Below are 21,986 nucleotides of genomic sequence, written 5' to 3'. Positions count from 1 at the left end.
TCCTGCCTTGGCCTCCCAAAGTGCTGGGATTATATGGCTCTTCATTGGGAATTGTACTCTTTATCATTGTTAAGTCTTTTATATAATCTTACCTAATGCTTTGGCCCTGAATTCAAATGTTCCTATTATTCAGATTACCCTGTTCTTATTTGCATTTTCCCAGTATATCTTTGCCAAGAGTTCCTTTGGCATCCTCCTTGTACCTAGCATAGATTTAGATTTCACTTTGAAATTCAATCATAAACCTAGACTCAAATGATCTTCCAACCTCAACCTCCCAAGTAGCTGGGACTACACGACCACACCTGGCTAATCTGTAATGTTTTTTAAAGACAGGGTCTCACTCTGTTGCCCAGGCTGGAGTGCAGTGGTGTGATCTTAGCTTACTACAGCCTCAAACTCCCAGCCTCAAGCAATCCTCCTGTCTTTGCCTCCCAAGCAGCTGGGATTACAAGCATGAGCCACCACACTCAGCCTGTTGAGTATATTTAGATCTTTTTTTTACTTTATGCAGCTATACAAGGAAACATAGGCACCTACAGTGAGGTGGGAGAGGAGAAGGAAATAATGCTATTTTTGTCATTACTTATGGTGGGGGGTTCTCAGATAATCTCTCGGGGATGAGGTTGACTATTATATCTTTGGCCCCAAAGGACAAAAGCTGAGCTAAATCAGTGAACTTAACAACCATCCCATCTCTCTCAGTGCCTCCCATATTTCTGTGAGTTATAATAACCGGTTCCATAGCCGTAATCCCCATATTGTCTTAGAGCTGATCCTATAGGCAAGTGGGTCCAGTGCTCCCTGCCAGACCATTTGCTGCAGTTCTCCAGTTATCTCTTACGAGACTGGAGTTAATCTTCTAGTCTTTCAAGAACAGCTTATGGGTGCAGGATTCTCTGAGTTCTTACATGTTCAGAAATGTTGGTCTGTTGTTTTTATAATTGAGCGACAGTTTGGCTGGATATAAAATACTTGGACCTCGCCTTCCTCCTCAGCCTTGCAGGCATCACCCCGTCATCCCTTGGCACCCTGTGGCTGTGGAGCATTCTGAGGACGGCCTAAACAGCACCCTCATCAACATGGTCTTTTTGTCTGGCCACCAAAGGTTTTTTAGCTATGAAGTCTAATAATTTTATTAGAGCGTATCTTTTTTTTTTTTTTTTTTTGAGACAGGGTCTCACTCTGTCGCCCAGGCAGGAGTGCGGTGGCAGTGATCTCAGCTCACTGCAGCCTCCATCCACTGGGCTCAGGTGATCCTCCTCCCGAGTAGTTGGGATTACAGGCACATGCCACCACCCCCTGGCCCCAACGCTCGGCCCAGGAAGAGGCCAGCACCCCGACGGCCCCGTGCACGTAGGACCTGTCTGTGTGGCTCCGGGTCTCGTGCAGTGCCCTACCCCCTCTCAGAACCCAGCCGGGGACGTTGCCCCCACCAGGCAAGGTACACTGTGTGGCTCCTGCCGCCTCCAGGGCGTCTCCCCCTTGTCCCCCCCTCATCCTGCCAACCCCCCACTGGGTCTTGCTCTTGGCAGCGCTCCCAGCCCTGTCGAGCTTGGGGGTTCACATACCTCATGGTTTTGCTGAAAATGGAGTTTGTATTTCTCACCCTCGTCAGCTTTGGGGTGGTTGTGAGGTTCTTCTGGGAGGAGTGCCAGCATTCTGCTGCCATCAAGCCCGGGACGTGGCCTCTCGCTAGGCACTAGGGTGCAGTGGCTTCCCTGGGGTGAGGGGTCCCGGGACCCAGCCCCTCTCCTGCAGCTGGGACCTCCCTGTCTCTGCTGCTCTCTGACTGGGGAAGGAGTCGGTCAGAGCTGGTGCGAGGAGCAGCAGGGCAGGGCCGAAGACCACTCTGAGGGGAGGGCTGGAGTCCCCCATCGTGGCCTTAGGAAGAGTGGGAGGTCAGCTGGGTAGGAGCGTGTGGCCCTCACATCCCGGGCCTGTGGGCCTGCGTCTCTCCTGGTTCCAGCTGCAGGTGGGGCACCAGGGGCAGCACTGCCTTGTGGGCTTAAGGAGTGGCCTAACACCTCTCCCAACTCTCACAGGTGCGTGGGACTCATGAACTCACCAATCCCGGGATCGCCGAGGTCACGATCCGGCCAGATCGCAAGATCCTGGCCACCGCAGGCTGGGACCACCGCATCCGCGTGTTCCACTGGCGGACGATGCAGCCACTGGCCGTGCTGGCCTTCCACAGCGCCGCTGTCCAGTGCGTGGCCTTCACCGCCGATGGCTTGCTGGCCGCGGGCTCCAAGGATCAGCGGATCAGCCTCTGGTCACTCTACCCACGCGCATGACTCACCCACTCCCTTCCCGGGAGACGAGGAGGGCGGGCAGGGAGGTGGGCATCAGGCCCCAGCCTTGGCCTGAAACCTCAAGGGCCTCTGAGGACCAGCAAGTCATGGCCCAAGGACCATGGAGTCCCCGCTGTCTTCATGAGGTTGGTATTTCCTTTTGTGGAGTGCCTCATCACAGGACGGTGACTCTGGGGGCCAGCCAGAGCCCTGGCCGTCCGAGGCCTGCAGGAGACGTTGGCTTGGGCCTGCTGTGTTGCCAGCTGAGGGTATTTTATAATAAATTTCCATTGCCAAGTTGCAGGCTTGAGGTGGGAGCTCCCTGAGGAGGCCCTGGTCCCCCACTTAGCATCAGTGCCCTCAGACCCCCACCAGGCAGGATGCTCAGCCCCACCCTCACACCTGCTGTTGAATGGGCCACCCCGAGTGTGGGTTTCCTGGGCCAGGCCTCAGGAGATGATAGGCCCCAACCATAGCTGCGTCGATGTCCACATGACCCCTCACCCCGAGGAGGCCAGGAGCTCCCAACACACAGGTTGAGGCCAGGATCAGGATCAGGAAGTAACTGAACTCCCTAAAGAGTGAAGCAGAGAAAGGTGCCTGTGAGGGACGGCAAGGGGGGCTTGCAGCGCACAGGGCCAGGCCAGATGTGGGATCCGGGAGGGCACGCCTGCCCGCAGAGGGTGCAGTGGGGAAGGCGCACAGGGTGCACCTCCAGGTGAGTGCTGGGCAGAAGGCACGAGAGCAGCAAGGGAGTGTGACAAGCACCGCCTCACAGTGGCCAAGGCCACAGTCACAGCTGCGGCTGCACACAGGGTGGCCCCCAGGGCACAACACAGCAAGAGCAGGACTTAGCAGCCAGAGCCTCACACTGCATGCAGCCGGGCCCAGCCTGGCCGGTCGTCTCCTCCTAAAAGCGGGTGTTGATTGGGAAAGAACCATGACCCTGAATATTGGAGTGGGGCCCATGGGCAGATCCAGAGAAGCTGGGACCACACACGCCTGTGTCTGCCCGGATTGCCGGAAGAGCCCCTCTAGCTGAAGGCCCGGGGTGGCCTCCCTTGAGGCAGTTGCCCTGCAAGGCCCTGCCGATGCTCCTTGGGACCCCCACCTGGGCTTCTAGTCCTAGAACTAGACTCGAGTCCAGCAGACCCCCAGGATGAGATACAGAGGGTGACCCTGAGAGTGGCACCAGCCTCCTGCAGGACCACATGGCATTTCCAGGTTTCCAGGCAGAAATCTGAACATGTGTGGGACGGATCGGAAGGGTGTGGGATCCAGGTGGCCGGAGCAGGGGTGGATCAGGGGAGTTCCCGGAACAGACCTGCCAAACGGAGGGCTGGACTGGGCGCTGCAGCTTGGGGCCAGGAAGGCTCCAGTGCCGGGCTGGGGGTGGGGGCTGGATTACAGCCTGAGGGTGGCTGCACTGAGTGAAGTGGACATGGCCAGCCGCCGTGGGGTACAGCCGAGGAGGGCTTCCAAGGCCTGGGGATGGGGGTGTTGGATTTGTCAGTGAGACCTGTGCACCCACTGCAGGGGGTCCCAAGGCCGTGCCTCCCCAACCCCACTGTGAGGAACATGGTTGCTGGGGGGCCCGGAGTCCTTGAGGAGTCCTGTGACCACACTTCTCTGTTGGTCAGAGGTACCATGGGGACCGTTCCATCAAACGGGAATGTCAGTGCTGGCCGGGAAAGCGGCCCCTGGCCCAAGCTTGGAGACCACCTGGCTCGGGTACTGGCCTGGCTCCGTTGGACAAGGGTGGCCACCAGGTGCCCAGGACCTTTGGAGAGGGGGGCCCTGCTGCTTTTCCTCGAGTGTCCTATAGCCGCCAGGATGCGTAGGGCACTCCGGGAGGTATTTTCATATCACTGAGGTGTCAGGGAGGGGAAGGGTCCTGGGTTTAGGCTGCAGTGACTGCAGGTGCTGAGGGAGCTGTGCCCTGGGTGCTCATCACAGGCTGTCACAGTGAGGGAAGGTGTCAGGTTCTGACATCCCCATGACAGCGGCAGGGTAGGTGGAGTGGGAATTGGCTTTGCAGTTTCCCTGCATGCCCTTGACAGCCTTGCCAAAGGCACATCTGCCCCGCCTCAGCTCCCACCCTGAGGGTTCTGGGCCTCTACCCCTTCCCCTGTTTATGTCCCTGTCATCTTTGGCATCATCACTGTAGTTACAAAACTCCCTACGTCCCACAGCCACGAGGTGGGTATCCCACATGAGGGCCCAGGTGTGCATGCCAGCATGAGGTTGGCGAGTGGCACTGCCTGCTGATGTCTTACATAGAGGCCATGAAGAGCTGTGGGCAGGGTGTACAGACCCTGAGTTGGCCCCTGGCCCTCGTGCTTTCAGTCAAAGGCACAAGCAGGGTGGATGGCAGGCGGCTGCCCCCTAGCCTGGCCTTGAGCTCCCTGCCCCAGGCCATGTGGCGTTGAGCAGTGTCCAGGCACATCTTGTTCTGAATCTCAGTGTGCAGGGATGGAGTCGGGACAGCGTGAGTCCTGCATGCCTAACACAGCCCTCACCCCTCCAGTGCACAACGGGGCCACGTGCCCGCATCTGGGTGGCTAGGCAGATAGGGCCCCCCTTGCCAGGCAGATCCAGCTTCTGAGGCCTTATAGACGTCCTGTGGAGGGCAGGCCCAGGACTTTCATTCACCTGGCTGAGCTGCCTGGGAGAGCAGCAGAACCGGTGCTGGGGTCCAAGCCGGCCAAGAGCAGTGCAGCCCTCCTGGTCCTGTTCCTCTCTTGAGCTGCTCCGTGGTGTCCACAGCAGAGCCATGTGGCTCTGGACAGGTCGGCCTTTGTGTCAACAGAACCTGGGTCGTGATGAATCACCATGCGTCTGACCAGCCTTGAAACCCCCACAACAGAAGAAGAAACGGTCTCAGCTCCAGACATCCAGCTTGGAAAAGATGCACCTGAACATTGGCATTCTCTTCCTAGCAAACAGCCACTTCCTGTAGGCTGGCAGGAACGCCAACAGAGCCAGCAGTGAAGGCATTAAGTGGGGAGGAGGGGTGGCCCGGAGGCAGCACGCGAAGGTCAGCATGCAGCTCCTGGGATGAACCTGAGAGGCGACTCCTGGCAGCATGGCTGGTCGCTGCCATCACGCCCCTGGCCAACCCACCAACTGGGAGAGGCAGCCCTTCCACATCTTCCTCCATAATGCTCTTGGGTAGCAGTGAGGCCTCTCAAGCCAGAGAGAACTTGGTGTTTGGAAACAACGGCGGACATTTCTTGCCATTTTCAGTGCCAACTCAGGTAGGTGTGTTCTACCATCCTGTGTTTTTGGGGTGTTTTTTTTTTTGAGTCAGAGTCTCACTCTGTCCCCCAGGCTGGAGTGCAATGGAGCAGTCTCGGCTCACTGCAACCTCTGATTCCCAGGTTCAAGCGATTCTCCTGCCTCAGCCTCCCGAGAAGCTCAGGACCACCCACATAGGTGCAGGCCATCATGCCCAGCTAATTTTTTATTTTTTTTTATAGAGAAGGAGTCTCGCTATGTTGCCCAGGCTGGTTTCGAACTCCTGGGCTCAAGCGATCGATCCTCCCGCCTCTAGCCTCCCAAAGCACTAGAATTATAGGCCTGAGCCACTGCGCCCGGCCCACCATCCTGTTCTTATTGGAAGAATTTCCATGTGTCGAGGCACGGGCACAACGTAGCTGGTCCTCTGCTCAGGGCCCCACAAGGCTGCGTCAGGGTGGCAGCGCGGCTGGGGGCTTTTTCTGTTCAAATCCAGATTCTCGTGGCTGTGAGCCCCAGCCCTGGGCACTGTCCGCCTGGTGGTGTCTTCACAGCCAGCAGGGGTGGCCTTGGGGTGTTCTGTGGAGTAACTTTCACGGCCCAGAGTGGGATCCTGAGTGGCTGGAGCCGTATGCTCCAGCATCCCCAGCCGCTGCCTCCGGTGCAGGTGGAGTGGGCCCCTCTGATTACCAGGAGCTGTCAGAGGGGCAGCAGGTCCCACTCCACTGGCCGGTGGGCAGCTGTGTGCAGGGACGCGGGTCCTGGCACGTCTGCCTGGTGAGGCCCTGCCTCCAGTGCCAAGGGGCCTCCCCTCTCGACGGTGGGCGCCACCATGTGCTGACCTCTGTGCAGCCCCACTTTACAAGGTAGGTTCGGCCAGCACCCCATCCGCGGGCGGGCAGCACTCACCCAGCGTTGCGCCGCCAACAGGGTCCCTCTTAGACAAGCAGCTGTGCCTAGAGCCTTTTCCTTCCTCCCTGCGTGTTACCTGCAGGCCAACAGACGGCCCTGGGTCTGGGACCAGGAGAACCTGCCTCCGCCTCTGGCAGTGGGTGTCCCTGCAGGCAGATTGGGCTTGGCACGTAGACACCGAGGGGTCAGCCGATGCCGGGAGATGATCCCGGGAAGGGCTCCGGAGCACAGCCCAGGACCCGCCGCCGCTGCTGGGCGCTCCATGTTGACGTGCTGTGCGTGTCTCCACTCCCCAGGCAATGATGTTCAATCAGGTGTTTCCCACCTGTGTCTCTGCCAAGAAGCCACAGAACACCCTCTGCACAAAAGGAGTGTTTGCACAAAGAAAAACAACCCTCCGGGGGTTCTTTAGAAATGCTTATACTCAATTAGCTAGAACTTCATGTGAAATCCCAGCGTGGAAGACAACAAGCCGGCACCGGTGAAAACTTTGCTGTGCACCTGCCCTCTACCAAGCTGCCAGCCCCACCAGCCCTGTGGTCCTAGGTGGGCACAGCTGCTGCACGGTCCCCCAGGCCTGCCTCTCCTCGGGGTCTCAACCTTCATACCAGATTTGCCAGCATCCCCATTCCCGCCTTGTGGGTGGAGAGTCCTTGAGACCCTCTGTCACTCTGTCAGCTTCCCCAGGTCAGCGAGCTGTGGCTTGGCTCCCACGCATCAGCTTTTATGGGAGGCCCATTAGGAGCTGGGCAGGAGGGACAGAGGGGAGGCCAGGCAGCCACTGCTGAGTGGGACGGGTAGCCCAGCCCATGAGGCTGGCCAGCCCTACAGGGGAGGTCCCACAGCACTGGCCGGGAAGTCCACATAGGAAAGCATCAGTTGAGGGATGAAGCCACGGACGATGGGGACAACGGCCACAGGGTGTGCTAAGCTGAGGAAATTAGTAGGAGGTGCTCATAAGCTGTTTTGTTTTTTGGTTTGTTTGTTTGTTTTTTCTTTTAAGAGACCAGGGACAGTGGGGGTCTCACTCTGTCACCCAGGCTGGAGTGCAGTGGCATGATCATAGCTTACTGCAGCCTCCAACTAATAGGCTCAAGTGATCCTCCTGCCTCAGCCTCCCGAGTAACTCATGGCCTTTAAGTGAACTGCTTCCACCATCCAGCTGTGCAGGTGGCCTGGGAACAGCAGCACATCTGTCCCCTGCCACCTCTTGCATGCACACTTGACCTCCTGACTTGGGCTCTGAAACCTGTAAAATGTGGGGTGTAGAGAAATCGAGTCATTTGGCCTCATCCTGGTGCCATTATCTCTTGCTACATTAATAAACCACCTCAAACAGAGCAGCATAACAGCCATTCTGGGCACGTGGGCTCCGTGGGTCGGGAATTTAGGAGAGGCTGGGCTGAGCAGTTTGTCTACTCCACGGGGTGATGGCCAGGGCTGGAGGATTCGCTTCCATCACAGCCTCTTCACTCAGGTGCTTGGAGCCTTGGCTTCATTCAGGGGCTGGGCACAGCGGGGACCACCAACCTGAGTACCTTCAAGTGTCCTTGCAGTGTGGTGGTCTCAGGGACTCAGACTTCTTACTTGGGGGCTTCAAGAGCACGTCCAGCAAGCCAGGTTGGAGCCCAGAGCCTTCTGTGACCAGCCCTGGAGTCCAGGAGAGGGGAAACAGATCCCTACACTGGGTGGAGGAAGGTCAAAGTGTTTGTGGCCTTTATCAAATAAGGCTTGTCCTTGTTTCTCTTTGTGTAGCAAGAAAGAGTGAACACAGACAGCTGAGGCCCCAGAAACAGGGAAGGAGCTAGAATCCATGCACATCAGCCTCACACACCATCAGTAGGTGGGAAGAGTCCAGTGTGCACCCACTCAGCTTGCACAGCCACAGGCAGCCTGCCCAGGACCACCCTGTCACTCAGCCCTGCGGGTGTGATAAGACACTGACAAGGAAGGTTAGTCCTTCCTTGTCCCAACACACCAGGCAATATCTCCAAATGAAAGGATAATGCAATGGGCTCTCCCATCCATGAAACCCAAAGAATCGCTCATCTCAGGAAGAGATGCTAAAGTGTCACAAACTGAAAGCAAATACAAAAGATGGGCTAAAGAGTTCCTCAACATAACAAGAGGTTTTGTTATCAAAAGAGACTCAGCATTAAAAATAATAAAATACTTAAGAATTAGCTTAACTAGGGAGGTGAAAGACTTGTACACTGAAATCTATAAAACACTGCTGAAAGAAATTAAAACATAAATAAATGGAAATACATCCCATGTTCATGGATTGGAAAACTTAACATTGTTAAGATATCCATACTACCCAAAGCAGTCTACAGATTCAATGCATTCCCTTCAAAAATCCCAATGACATTTTTTGTAGAAATAGAAAAAGCCATTTTGAAATTCATATGGAGTCTCAAGGACCCCTTAATAGCTAAAACAATCTTAAAATGAATAAACTTGGAGGATTCATACTTCCTGGTTTCAAAATTTACTATAAAGCTATAGTAATCAAAACAGTGTGGTACTGGCATAAAGGCAGATGTAAAGACCAATGTAATAGAATAGACAGCCTAGAAATAAACCAGTGATATTTTTCTCAATTAGAAACAGGGTCTCACTGCGTTGCCCAGTCTGGTCTTGAACTCCTGGCCTCAAGCAATTCTCCTACCTCTGCCTCCCAAGTAGCTGGGACTATAGGTACATGCCACTGCACCTGGCTGGCCAAATGATTTTTAATGTGGTGACCATTCAATGGGGGAAAAGACTGTCTTTTTAACAAATGATGTTGGGAAAACTGGATTTACAAATGCAAAAGAATGCAGTTTGATCCCCCACCTCATACCCTATAAACTCAAAATAGAGCAAAGACCTAAATTAAGACCTAAAACCATAAAACCCTTAGAAGAAAACATAGGCCAAAAGCTTCATGACATTGAATTTAGCAATAAATTCTTGGATATGACACGAAAGGCACATTTCACAAAAGAAAAAAATAGACAAACTGGACTTCATGAAAATTTAAAAGTTGTATGCATCAAAAGACACCATCAACAGAGTAAAAAAGCAGCCCACAGACTGAGAGAAAATCTTTACAAACCATATATCTGATAAGGGATTAATATCCACAATATATAGAGAACTCCTAAAACTCAACAACAACAAAAAAGCCGATTCAAAAATGGGCCATCCTGGGTGCCGTGGTATGTACCCAGTTATTCAAGAGGCTGAGGCAAGAGGATCACTTAATCCAGGAGCTGGAGTCCAGCCTGGGCAACATAGTGAGACCCTGTCTCTAAAAATTAAAAATTAAAAAAAAATAGACAAATGACTTAAGTAGACATATCTCCAAAGAAGATGTATGAGTAGCCAGCAGGCACAGCATCACTATCCTCTGGGGAAATGCAAGTCAGAACTATAATGAGACAGATACTGCCTTACACCCATGAGGATGGGTACACCAAAAATAAAAACAAAACAGGGCCGGGTGCAGTGGCTCACGCCTGTAATCCCAGCACTTTGGGAGGCTGAGGCGGGTGGATCACGAGGTCAGGAGATCGAGACCATCCTGGCTAACATGGTAAAACCCCGTCTCTACTAAAACTACAAAAAATTAGCTGGGCGTGGTGGCGGGCACCTGTAGTCCTAGCTACTCGGGAGGCTGAGGCAGGAGAATGGCATGAACCCAGGAGGCAGAGCTTGCAGTGAGCCGAGATCGCGCCACTGCACTCCAGCCTGGGCGACGGAGCGAGACTCCATCTCAAAAAAAAAAAACAAAAAAAAAAACAGAAAACAAGTGTGTGGAGAAATCTGAACCCTTGTGCGCTATTGGTGGGAATGTAAAAATGGAGTAGCAGCTATGGAAAACAGTGTGGTCATTTCTCAAAATCCTGGACATAGAATTACCATATGAGCCAGCAGTTCCTCTTGTGGCAGAATACCCAAGAGAACTGAAAGCAGGGCTGCAAAGATATTTCTATACCCACGTTCATAGCGGCATTACTCACAGCAGCCAACAGGTGGGAGCAACCCAAGTGTCCATTGACAGAAGAATGAATCAACAAAACGTGGTACAGACATACAACAGAATAGTGTTCAGCCTTATAAAGGCAGGGAGTTCCGACACAGGCTAGAACACGGATGAACCTTGAGGTCCTTACACTCAGTGAACTAAGCCAGCCACAAAAAGACAAATGCTGTGTGATTCCACTTACATGAGGCGCCTAGAGTAGTCAGATTCACAGAGACAGAGAGTAGAATGCTGGCTGCCAGGGGAGGGGAATGAGGAGTTCTTGTTTAATGGGGACAGAGTTTCAGTTTTCTGAGATGAAGAGTTCTGAGATGGCTGGTGGTGATGGCTGCACAGTCATGTGGATGGACTTCATGCCACTGAAATGTACACTTACAAAGGGCTACGATGGTAAATTTGATTTACGTGTATTTTCCCTCAATGTTAAAAACTGAAAACTAAAGGCCTGCTTAAGTCTAGCTAACTAGCAAATACATCACCTGACATAGTTCTCATTTTTGTGGTAAGAAGTTTACACAATAAATACGTCAATTTTATATGTCGATTTAAAAAATAAATAAGTAAATGTGAAGGGAAAGAGCCTGAGGGGGCAGTCAGGCTTACTGGACAGCAGCACTTGGCCTCACCGTGGTGCCTCCGCCTGGGAGCCGCCAGCCAGGGCTTTTCCCGAGTGATGTGGGTCGGATGCTAATCCCCAGGAGGGTGCTAAGAGCACGTCGGAGAAAGAATAAGAACGCGATAGAGAAAAGCACAGCTACTGCTTTCAGAACCAGTTTGAGGGAATCATCCTCATAGTGTGTGGGTGTCTGTACTGAGGTGTTTAAGGCATTTTTGGATCAGATATGTTAAGCTTGTAGTTTCCATTAAATATTTAGAAGTGTTTATAATGAGTTTACAGTCAATGTTTAAATGTCAGGAGAAATTTACTTTGTTTTATCCAACAAGTTTTGATTTATCAACTGGGAGTGTGACTCTATGGAGAAGTATTTATTACAAAACATGCACTTTATTCATATTGGAATTTACTGAACAAGTCACTGTTTTTTTAATTTTGGAAATTTCAAACATGAACCAAAGTGAAGGGAAACACGACAACTCCATGTGCCCATGGCCCGGCCTCAGCATTCAACAAAGACGGTCACCTGCGGTCCTCCCAGCCACCAGGCCCTGGGTATTGAAGGGTTGGCACTCTGCGGGGCAGGGGAGCCCCAGGTTCACACAGCCACCTGCATCCCTCAGAAGCTCCACTTCTCTCTCTGGTGTGTTCCTAGACGTCTCAGCTTTCACTTCCTTGTCCTTCAGGACATGTCCACCTGGGTGACAACCCCATCCAATGAGAGTGGATGAAGTACCATGTCAGAGGTGCCTCTCTTTTCTTGCAGATCAGACTGCACAAATGTCCAGTGTCTGAACCGCATGGAAGGGCAGGACAGGACTGCATCTCCCAACGAGCCGAGCCGCCCACAGGACACAGACACAGACACGGCCTCCACAGCCACACCAGGTCCCACCTCAGCCCAGCACAGGCCTTTCCCACAGTCAGTGACCCCAAGGAAAGACGTCGGATCAGGGAACCAGATCTCCCCCTTACCTACTTTTATTTATTTTATTTGTTTGAGACGGAGTCTTATTGTTGCCTAGGCTGGAGTGCAGTGGTGCAATCTCAGCTCACTGCAACCTCCACCTCCCAAGTTCAAGCAGTTATCCTGCCTCAGCCTCCCAAGTAGCTGGGATTACAGGCACCTGCCGCCACGTCCAGCTAACTTTTATATTTTTAGTAGAGATGGGGTTTCAAAGGGGCTGGACACGGTGGCTCATGCCTACAATCCCAGAACTTTGGGAGGCTGAGGCAGGCGGATCATTTGAGCCCAGGAGTTTGAGATCAGCCTGCCCAACATGGTGAAGCCCCGTCTCTACTGAAAATACAAAAATTAGCCAGGCATGGTGGCGCATGCCTGTAATCCCAGCTATTTGGGAGGCTGAGGCAGGAGGATTGCTTGAGCCCAGGAGGTGGAGTTTGCAGTGAGCTGAGACTACGCCATTGCACTCCAGCCTGGGCAACCAGAACGAAACTCCGTCTCAAAAAAAAAAAAGAAGAAGAAAAGAAAGAAAGAAAAGAAATAAGGAGCAATGGCCAGGTGCAGTGGCTCACACCTATAATCCCAGTGCTTTGGAGGGCAAAAGCGGGAGGATCACTTGAGCTCAGGAGTTTGTGACCAGCCTGGGCAACATAGTGAGACCCCCATCTCTAACAACAACAACAACATCAAAAAAGCCAGGTGTGGTGGCACACACCTGTAGTCCTAGCTGTTCGGGAGACTGAGGAGGAAGGTTTGCTTGAGACTGGGAGGTTGAGGCTGCAGTGAGCCTTGATCACGATGCCACTGCACTCCAGCCTGGGTGACAGAGCAAGATCCTGTCTCTTGAAATGAGCAGGAATGTGCTGTTTTACTAGTTAAGAGTAATAAATCCTGGTTGGGTGTGGTGGCTCACGCCTGTAATCCCAGCACTTTGAGAGGCCAAGGCAAGAGGATCACTTGAGCTCAGGAGTTCGAGACCAGCCTGAGCAACATGGCAAAATCCCATCTCCACAAAAAACTTAAAAATTAGCCGGGCATGGTGGTGCGTGCCTGTGTTCCCAGCTACATGGGAGGTTGAGGTAAGAGGATCACTTGAGCCTAGGAGGTCAAGGCTGCCGTGAGCCATGATCATACCACTGCACTCCAGGCTGGGGGGCAGAGGGAGACCCTGTCTCAAAAAAAAAAAAAAAAAAATTAAGAGTAACAACACACCCTGAACCTGTGCCCAGCACACTGAAACCCAGTGAAAGGGGCTGAGAGAGGATGGAGAGGGGGAGACGAAAAGGACCGATACCCAGAATGGGTCAAAACAGACGAGAAGGCATGGGAAAGGCCAGCACGCTCTTTATAAGAGTAGAACTCAGCCACCCCATTACTGGGTATATACCCAAAGGATTATAAATCATGCTGCTATAAAGACACATGCACACGTATGTTTATTGCAGCACTATTCACAATAGCAAAGACTTGGAACCAACCCAAATGTCCAACAACGATAGACTGGATTAAGAAAATGTGGCACATATACACCATGGAATACTATGCAGCCATAAAAAATGAAGAGCTCATGTCCTTCATAGGGACATGGATGAAACTGGAAACCATCATTCTCAGCAAACTATCGCAAGGACAAAAAACCAAACACCGCATGTTCTCACTCATAGGTGGGAATTGAACAATGAGAACACACGGACACAGGAAGGGGAACATCACACTCCGGGGACTGTTGTGGGGTAGGGGGAGGGGGAGGGATAGCATTAGGAGACATACCTAATGCTAAATGACGAGTTAATAGGTGCAGCACACCAACATGGCACATGTATACATATGTAACAAACCTGCATGTTGTGCACATGTACCCTAAAACAGTATAATAATAATTAAATTATATTAAATTAAAATTTTTTAAAAAAACCTTAATGTTCAATAACATGCGCCCTCTGTAGCGTATGGGATTGAGCGTTACCCAGGAAGCTCCTCCCACCCCGTGTGCTGGCCCTTCCTGCCTGCACTGGCTGATCTGTGTTCTGTACTGTGGTTTTGCCTTTTCCCAGACAGCTTATAAACAGAGCCACGCGGCACGGCACCTCCCGAGCCTGCTTCCTTCCCTCCGTGAGATAAAGTCAAGACTCATCCAGGTTGCCTGCATCTGTAGGTCGCTGCTTTTCATCCACTCATTGGCAGAGGCACATGCGGGTAGTGTGCTGGCTCTGAGTTGGTGGCTGGCATGGACGTCGGCTACCAGCCTCTGCTTCCATCCCTTGAGGGTAGGCGTGCTCTCTTGAAGTCTTGCCCACCCAGACTGATCACATGCGGTTCTGCTTTTCAGGCCCAGTGGCTGCCCTTGAGACATGACCCCTCCCTCCCTGAGTGGGAGACCCAGCTCCTAAGCAGGGCAAGCAGGCCTGGCCCTGGGGTGGCCCGAGGTCCCCTGCACCCATCTCCGAGGTGATCCTGCCTCTGAAGAGCCCTCCACCCCGTGCAGGCCCCTGGGTGTTAGCTGTCCCTGCTGGAACATGAGCTCTTCTAGAGCAGGCACTGTGTGTCTTGCATTCATGGGATGGACACTTTGGCACTTTTGCCTTACCCTCCCACCCCCAGTGAGGGAGGACTGGGCCTTCCTGGAGCAAGGGGCCACACGTCTTCCTCCTGAGGAGCTAGGATCCTAAGGAAAGCTATAGAGCACCATATTGGGTAGGGACAGAGAAACCACCCCTGAGAGAGAGGGAGACCACGGGCAGACACGGAGCCACGAGCACAGGCCCCAGAGCTGGGGTGGACACGGGCCACAGCACTGCCTGTCCCTGGGGAAGCCGCTGGGACTTCCAGGTGGTTTCAGGGGCACTAGCAGCCATGGGTGGTGAGAACTCCCTCCCACCTGTGCCCACGTGGCTTACACCTTCCACTCGGGAGCCGGTGGGACTTGCCTGGGGCCCGAGCACTTGGAGGGGCCACCTCCAGGGATGGCTCCGGTAACCCTCCGTCTCCCTGCAAGGCTGTCACCAGCCTTCTGATGCCCAGCCCTCTCCAGCACAGCCTGGCAGCCACCCTCGAAGCCCACCTCACAGCAGCCAGACCCCTCAGGCTCCAGGCGAGCACTCCAGGCCATGCGGCCTCACTGGGGAGTCTGGGCCCACTTGGGCAGGGGGAGGAGTGCGGAGAGGGCCCTGGGGCACCGCTTCATGCCAGGTGGGACTTGGGAGCTCCTGGCCTCAGAATATTCGGGGCCCCACCACTAGCTCCTTCAGACAGGGTGCGGCCATGTGGGAAGACCTCGCCACAGCAGCCCCATGGCTCCGGACCTGTGGTTCCGAGCGTGCATTGCAGGAGGTGAAAAGCATACCCCACCTCCACCCACCAGATGCCAGAAGCACCCCCACCCAGTGTCCCAGGCACTGTCAAACACCCCAGGGGGCAAGACTGCTCCTGTTAAAAAACCACCGCTTTAGAGGCAGGTAGGGAATTGGTCAATCCAAGATGGATAGCAGTGGCTTTTGCAAACTGTGGATGATCTAGGATTTTTAAATTGTTAAACATACATTTAAAAACACAAATTTTGGCTGGGCGCAGCGCCTCACTCCTGTAATCCCAGCACTTTGGGAGGCTGAGGTGGGCGGATCACCTGAGGTCAGGAGTTCGAGACCAGCCTGGCCAACATGGTGAAACCCCGTCTCTACTAAAAATAGAAAAAATTAGCTGGGTGTGTTGGCAGGTGCCTGTAATCCCAGCTACTTGGGAGGCTGAGGCAGGAGAATCGCTTGAACCCAGGAGGTAAAGGTTGCAGTGAGCCAAGATCGCGCCACTGTACTCCAGCCTAGGTGACAAGGGAGAAACTCTGTTTCAAAAACATAAAAACCAAAAAACCCACAAATTTGGCCAGGTGTGGTGGCTCACACCTATAATCCCAGCACTTTGGGAGGCCGAGGTGGAAGGAGAGCCTGAACCCGAGTTCGAGGCTAGCCTGGGCAACACAGTGACACCCTGTCTCTACAAAAAATAAAGAATGTGCCATTGTGACCATGTTGAAGTACACAATTCAGTGGCATTGTGTATTCCCGATGCTGTGCGTCCACCTCCAGATGAACGCAAAATGGAACCTCTGTCCCCACTAGACGCCAACTCCCCATTCCTCTCCCCCAGTCCCTAACAATCCCCATTCTCCTGTCTGTTTCTTGAATCTGACTACTTGAGGTGCCTCATGCAAGTGGAATTGTACAGTACAAAATGTGTCCTTTGTGACCGGCTCAATTCACGGAGCATAAGGACCTCAGGGTTCATCCCTGTTGTAGCATGTAACAGAATTCCCTTCCTCTTTAAGGCTGGATAATACTCCACGGTACACACACACCACATTTTGTTGATCCGTTCACTTATCGGTGGACGCTCGGCTCGCCTCCACCTTTTGCTATTTGAGTAATGCTGCTATGAACATGGGTGGAGAAATATCTCTTTGAGACTCTGCTTTCAATTCTCTTGGGTATTTTCCCAGAAGTGGAATTCCTGGAACATACGGTTCTATGTAGAATTTTAATTGATTTTAGAGACAAGATATTGCTCTGTCACTCAGGCTGGCGTGGAGTGGTGTGATCGTAGCTCACTGCAGCCTGGAACTCCTGGGCTCAAGCGATCCTCCTGCCTCAGCCTCCTGAGTAGCTGGGACTACAGGTGCCTAGGCCCGCCCAGGCGGGTCTTGAACTCCTGGCTTCAAGCAGTCCTCCTGCTTCACTCTCCCTAACAACTGTATAATTTTTCAAGGACCCATGACACTGTTCCCCACAGAAGCTGCACTATCTTACAGTCCCACCAGCAGTGTAGACGGCTTCCAGGGGCTCCATGTCCTCACCAACACGTGTTGTTTTCTGTTTTTGTTTTTTAAAATCATCATCATCCTAATGGATATCCAAGTCTTTAATATTCACCTTGAATCACCTTCTGGGTATATATGTGATAGGATCTCTGTCCTGCAGCTCAAATTCTTTCTGGGGAAGAGACCTGTGCATGAGAAACAGCTACTACTGGAATAGCCACTGCTTCCCTCCAGTCGTGGGAAACCTCCCACTGCAGGAGGGAAACTCGGCGGCTGAGGGCCGAGGGGCCAGGTGGGCTTTGCCAGGCAAATCTCCCTCGGCAGCTCAGGAAGGAGACCACGCTGGTGTCCAGGGGTCTGGCCCACCCTGAGACCACTCCCCTCCTGGCAGTGACCGCATCAGGATGCCGAGATGCCTGGGGCTCCATCCTGCAGTCACCTGTTAGAAGGACAGGACTGTGTGAGGCCTGAGGACCCAGGAGAGCAGGTGGAGGTCAGGAGGTGACAGTGGCAGGTGGGGGCCAGCCCTGCAGTAAGCTTCCCAGGCAGTGACTGGGCATGGGCTCTCCTGAAGGGGGTGCCTGCCTGGAGATGGCCCCTTCTGGCTGGCCGCCTGGAGGGAGGGTCCTCCAAGGAAGCCCACACAGCCAAGCTGGAGGGGCCACCTGGAAATGCCTCCGTGGGGTGCTAGGGTGCCCCCAGTTGCAAGTCTCTCTCATAACTAGGCTGTTTCTTTCCAGCACCCACCACACAGGGTGATGGGTGTCTTGGGATGTGCTCCTATGTGTTGGTGTCCACCTCCTGGCGGCCCATTTCCCACCTAGACCTTCCTCTGGGGCCTGAGCAGCAGCTCTTGTCCCCAGAGCTCGGGCCCTGCAGGCTCTCCCAGGAGGTGGCGGAGCAGGCAGGCTTTCAGATCGGTCAGCTGCATCTTAATAAAGCTGCTTGTTTTTCTTAGTCCCTTGAGACTTGACTTATTGTTATCAGAAGGGTGATTATTTGCATGGAAGTGGCTGTTTCCGTATTTTGCCTCAGCTCAACGCCCGTGCTCGTAAGCTCTGAATCCGTGGAGGAACAATGCCACCAGCTAGCGGCCACTCTGCGGTGCCCGGGCTTCCTGTGTAGCCCAGGCCTCGCCTGCAGCCCCAGCAGCACTCGGGTGCAGGAATCCCACCAGCCTGAGGCGACAGGGAAGGGGACCTGTGTCCTGCCAGTGACCCCGATTCTGTCCCTTATCACAAAGGCGGGCTGGAGAAGGGCGCCCGGCAGCTCCTGAGACCCAGCCCCGCGGTGAAGGTCCCTACCCTGCCCTGGGAAGACGTACTGCCTCATGGCTGAAGGTCCAAACCACAGCCATGAGCAACTGGGTAGACTGGGGACTGTTTTGTGGCCCTGCTGCTGTCACCATCTTCGTTCTGTGATGATGTCACAAGAAAAAAAGCTTGTCTTGGGGGAGTAATCCGGAAAACATATTCTGAGATAAAGGATGAATTCAGAAACGGAGGGGAAAAAAAAACTATTTGAGAAGAGGGCTGGGCACGGTGGCTCACGCTTGTAATGCCAGCAATTTGGGAGGCTGAGGCCAAAGGATCACTTGAGGCCAAGAGTTCAAGAGGCAGGAGTTCAAGACCAGCCTGGGCAACATAGCAAGACTCATATGTCTCTACAAAATATTAGCAGGGTGTGGTGGCACACGCCTGTAGTCCCAGCTAATCAGGAGGCTGAGTCTGGAGGATGGCTTGAGCCCCGGAGTTCGAGGCTACAGTGAGCCATGATCACACCACTGCACTCCAGCCTGGGCAACAGAGCAAGACCCTGTCTCAAAAAGAAAAAAAGGCCAACATGGTGAAACCCATGTCTACTAAAAAGACAAAAATTAGCCGGGCGTGGTGGCGGACATCTGTAATCCCGGTTACTTGGGAGGCTGAGGCAGGAGAATCGCTTGAACCCAGGAGGCGGAAGTTGCAGTGAACTGAGATTGTGCCACTGCACTCCAGCCTGGGCGACAGAGCAAGACTCTATCTCAAAAAACAAACAAAAAAACTGTTGAGAGGAACTGAAGCTAGAATGACAGAGGAATGAAGAGGAGATGGGGAAGACTAGGGATGTGCAGGGAGGAGTGTCCTGAGAAATGATGTGAATGAAGAGTAAGGTCCTGGAAGGACAGGGCCACTGTAAGGGCTGGAGACAGAAGCCGGAGTCACCACCTGCAAGAAAGTCACCCAGAGCAACATGCTGGCACCCAGCGTTGCCCGAGGCCACAGTGGGCGCACCGACATGGGCCTCAACTGCAGCACCCTGGCAACTGCCACTGCACCATGGTTTCATGTGCAGCCAAGATCCTTCAGTTAGGCTGAGACCCCCCACTTTGAATAAGAGAACACCAACTTCAGAGGTGTTGAAATGCAGGCAAAAAACCCTGTGCACCTCAGAACTGGTGAAATGGGGAGATGCACCCCAAAGCTTCTGGGGGTCTGCACTGCAGGAAGGGGGCCTGGGCTGGCCACAGAGCAGAGGATGCCAGTGGGGCCGGGAGGAGAGGATTACGTGCTTACTTTGTGCAATTGAAAGCTGATAGATAAAGCATGTTGACAATGCCATCACCCTTTATAATTAAGAAGATAATTTAATTACTGCTATTAAAAGCTAAGCCTCTCCCCCACATGGGCTGGTTTTAGCAAAATATTTCTGGTTCTGCTGTTTCCCACACACAGACCTGGCAGCGGTTAAAGAGAGACACTGAGTCTCCGGAGTTTCATCTGAGGAGCCCATCTGGTTTGAAGTAGTACAACAAGCAGGAAAGGGAATTGAATCAAAGGCACCAGTTGTGTTTTTTGAAATCCAGAAAATGTGTGAGGTAGCACCAAGGAAAAAGGTCTCATCCTGCCCTCCCTAGGCTTGGGTGCCACTATGCCAGGCTGGGGGGCCGTGCCCCCACCTGCTCCTTGGCCAGGCTCTGCAGGATGCTCCTTCAGGGCGGGGGGTGAAGGAGCTTGGCAAGGAGGAGAGGCAGGATGGTGCAGATGCTTGTGGACCCTGCCCGAGCACACCGCCTCATTGGAACCCACAGGGAGGAGAGAAGCAGGAATGAACGTCCCCGTGCCCATGGCTGACACAGGCCTCCACTGTTGACAGAGAGCTTCTCCACACAGGGCGGAGGTCAGCACCACAGCTGAAGGGAAAACTGAGTCTCTGGAACACAGAGTCTCTGGAACACGGGCCACATGCTCTCCCCTGGTGCCCAGCTCCTGGTTGGGTTGCACTGCCTGACACACTGGAGCCATCCCTTTCGTCCTAGAAGCAGCTCCTCACCCATCACTCTCCCTCCACCAGTGAGAGGTGAGGCTGCCTCTGCCCTTGGCAACTGTGGCTACGTGGAATTCTCTGGTATGCGGGTGCTTTGATCTGCGGCACACCTGGAGATCAGGGCCTCAGCCTCATACAACTGTCATCGCATGGATCCCACACACCCCATGGACTTCCCCAGCTGGAGGGTGCGCCGCAGGGTGGGGCCTGAAGCCCACCAGGCCAGGGTCTCATCTCCACCGGGCCAGGGTCTTGTCTTCCTCCGCAGCTCAAGGTGCCACCAAACAGACTCGCCTTGTCCCGCAGCCAAGCCCCCGCGTGCTCCTGCCTCTGCACCTCCAGTGCTTTCCTGGGTGAGAAGCCTCTCTGGGCAATGGAGTGCCCATTGTCCCTTCGACAAAGGGGCACATGCTGCAGAGGGCAGCCGTGGGGGGGTCTTCTGAAAACAGGGAGCGGGGCTACTGCAGGATCGTCCAGCTGCACCCCCAGGCCCTGGGGTCCTAGAACCCTTCCGTGGGATGCAGTGGTGTGAAGGGGGTGTGGATGGTCCCCACCCCCGCTTAGTCAAGAATCTATCTATTTCCTGCGTTGTGCATCTGTTGTTTTTGGAGAGTTTTTGGGAGTGAGGAGTCTGGGGGCCCTTCTGGTCTCTCGTCCTCCTGAGTCCTGGCAGCTGGACGTCTGCAGCCAGGCTAGGGGAGGGCAACGGGGCCTCTGGACCAGCTAGGGAACCTGGAGGAGGATGTTTGGGGGAAGTCCAACAGCTGAGGGGGAGCCTGTGGGGGAACAGCGGTGGGACGAGCCCCCTATCCCCTACACCATACTGCCCATCACAGCAGCTTACAGAAGGGGCAGGGCAGGTGTGCTCAACGGGGAACCTAAAACAGGGAACAAGAAGGAGATGGAAGAACGGCCACTGTCAGTCCAGTAGTGCAGCTAGGACAAATGACCATAGGCCCGGTGGCTTATCAACAATGGACAGTTATTTCTCCCAGTTCTGGAGGCTGGAGGTCTGTGAGCAGCATAGCACTCAACTAATCCCACTCATGAGGACTCCACGCTCGTGACCTAATCACCGCCTAAAGGCTCCATCTCCTGCCACCATCACCTTGGGGGTGAACGTTCAGATCACAGCTGTCACAGAGGAAGCTGCTGGAAGCCAGGCCTTAGGGCAGCTGCCCATGGGAACGTCACCTCCACAGGAACGGTAGTGGCTGGGGCATCAGCCAGACAGCCCCCGCAGCGGGCAGGCAATCACTGGGCACTGGTTGAGGACTGAGCACATGAGGGACGGTGAGCAGCGGCGTGCGCCAGTCTTGCAGACACACAGCCAGCGGAAGCTGCCACCCAGACGCCGGCCTGCGAGCTCTCATTTACAAGAAGTTCTCAGATGCACAAACTCATCTACAAAGGTGGAGGGGAGGAAACCCACACTTCTGGGGGCCACTGCCCAGCGTGGGAGTGCCCTCAGCAGCAACAGCAGCAGTGTGGTGACCCGCGGCCTGTGAGCCACGGAGCACCTGGAATGGGGCCAGTGAGGACCTGAATGTTTAATGAATCCTAGTTCATTAGGACGTGTGGCCGAGTGTGATGGCTCATGCCTGAAAGCCCAGCATTTTGGAAGACCAAGGCAGGCGGGTCACCTGAGGTCAGGAGTTCGAGACCAGCCTGGCCAACATGGTGAAACCCCGTCTCTACTAAAAATACAAAAATTAGCCGGGCATGGTGGTACATTCCTGTAGTCCCAGCTACTCTGAGGCTGAAGCAAAAGAAATCACTTGAACCCAGGAGGCGGAGGTTGCAGTGAGCCGAGATCGCAC

At 53.9% G+C, this 21,986-nt stretch overlaps 2 protein-coding genes across 3 annotated transcripts in view, besides 4 other annotated features; one reads left to right on the top strand and one right to left on the bottom strand.

The window, feature by feature from the left end:
• Positions 1-7,783, top strand: part of GNB1L (G protein subunit beta 1 like) — a 71,652-nt gene extending 63,869 nt beyond the window's left edge. The window contains exon 8 of the mRNA NM_053004.3: positions 2,046-7,783. Within this exon, the coding sequence (NP_443730.1) occupies positions 2,046-2,297 (252 nt within the window). The 3' untranslated portion in view covers positions 2,298-7,783. The remainder of the gene's footprint in view (positions 1-2,045) is intronic.
• Positions 6,492-6,992: an enhancer, noted in NCBI's record as "H3K4me1 hESC enhancer chr22:19771537-19772037 (GRCh37/hg19 assembly coordinates)". NCBI's record gives its function as "activates a minimal SCP1, AML or CMV promoter by ChIP-STARR-seq in naive H9 embryonic stem cells {active_cell/tissue: H9 hESC(naive)}" and the evidence as "EXISTENCE:reporter gene assay evidence [ECO:0000049][PMID:30033119]".
• Positions 6,993-7,493: an enhancer, noted in NCBI's record as "H3K4me1 hESC enhancer chr22:19771036-19771536 (GRCh37/hg19 assembly coordinates)". NCBI's record gives its function as "activates a minimal SCP1, AML or CMV promoter by ChIP-STARR-seq in naive H9 embryonic stem cells {active_cell/tissue: H9 hESC(naive)}" and the evidence as "EXISTENCE:reporter gene assay evidence [ECO:0000049][PMID:30033119]".
• Positions 7,413-21,986, bottom strand: part of TBX1 (T-box transcription factor 1) — a 26,891-nt gene continuing 12,317 nt past the window's right edge. Inside the window, exons 9-10 of one of the 2 annotated variants that reach the window (NM_005992.1) lie at positions 7,974-8,093; positions 7,413-7,692 (exon numbers count right to left, since the gene is read on the bottom strand). In NM_005992.1, coding sequence (NP_005983.1) covers positions 7,984-8,093 — 110 coding nt within the window. In that variant the 3' untranslated portion in view covers positions 7,413-7,692; positions 7,974-7,983. Of the gene's footprint in view, positions 7,693-7,973; positions 8,094-11,459; positions 11,787-21,986 lie in introns of those variants that run through there. The other variant, NM_080646.2, reaches the window with a different exon arrangement.
• Positions 13,966-14,467: a silencer, noted in NCBI's record as "fragment chr22:19764062-19764563 (GRCh37/hg19 assembly coordinates)". NCBI's record gives its function as "represses an EF-1alpha promoter that drives an FKBP-Casp9 reporter gene in an ReSE screen in phorbol 12-myristate 13-acetate-treated (for megakaryocytic differentiation) K562 erythroleukemia cells {active_cell/tissue: K562(+PMA)}" and the evidence as "EXISTENCE:reporter gene assay evidence [ECO:0000049][PMID:32094911]".
• Positions 19,939-20,110: a silencer, noted in NCBI's record as "fragment chr22:19758419-19758590 (GRCh37/hg19 assembly coordinates)". NCBI's record gives its function as "represses an EF-1alpha promoter that drives an FKBP-Casp9 reporter gene in an ReSE screen in phorbol 12-myristate 13-acetate-treated (for megakaryocytic differentiation) K562 erythroleukemia cells {active_cell/tissue: K562(+PMA)}" and the evidence as "EXISTENCE:reporter gene assay evidence [ECO:0000049][PMID:32094911]".

This window comes from Homo sapiens, chromosome 22, assembly GCF_000001405.40.
Source record: "Homo sapiens chromosome 22, GRCh38.p14 Primary Assembly".
Taxonomy (NCBI): Eukaryota; Metazoa; Chordata; class Mammalia; order Primates; family Hominidae; genus Homo; species Homo sapiens.
Note: the sequence above shows the minus strand (reverse complement) of the source record. Positions and strands in the feature narration are given on the sequence as shown.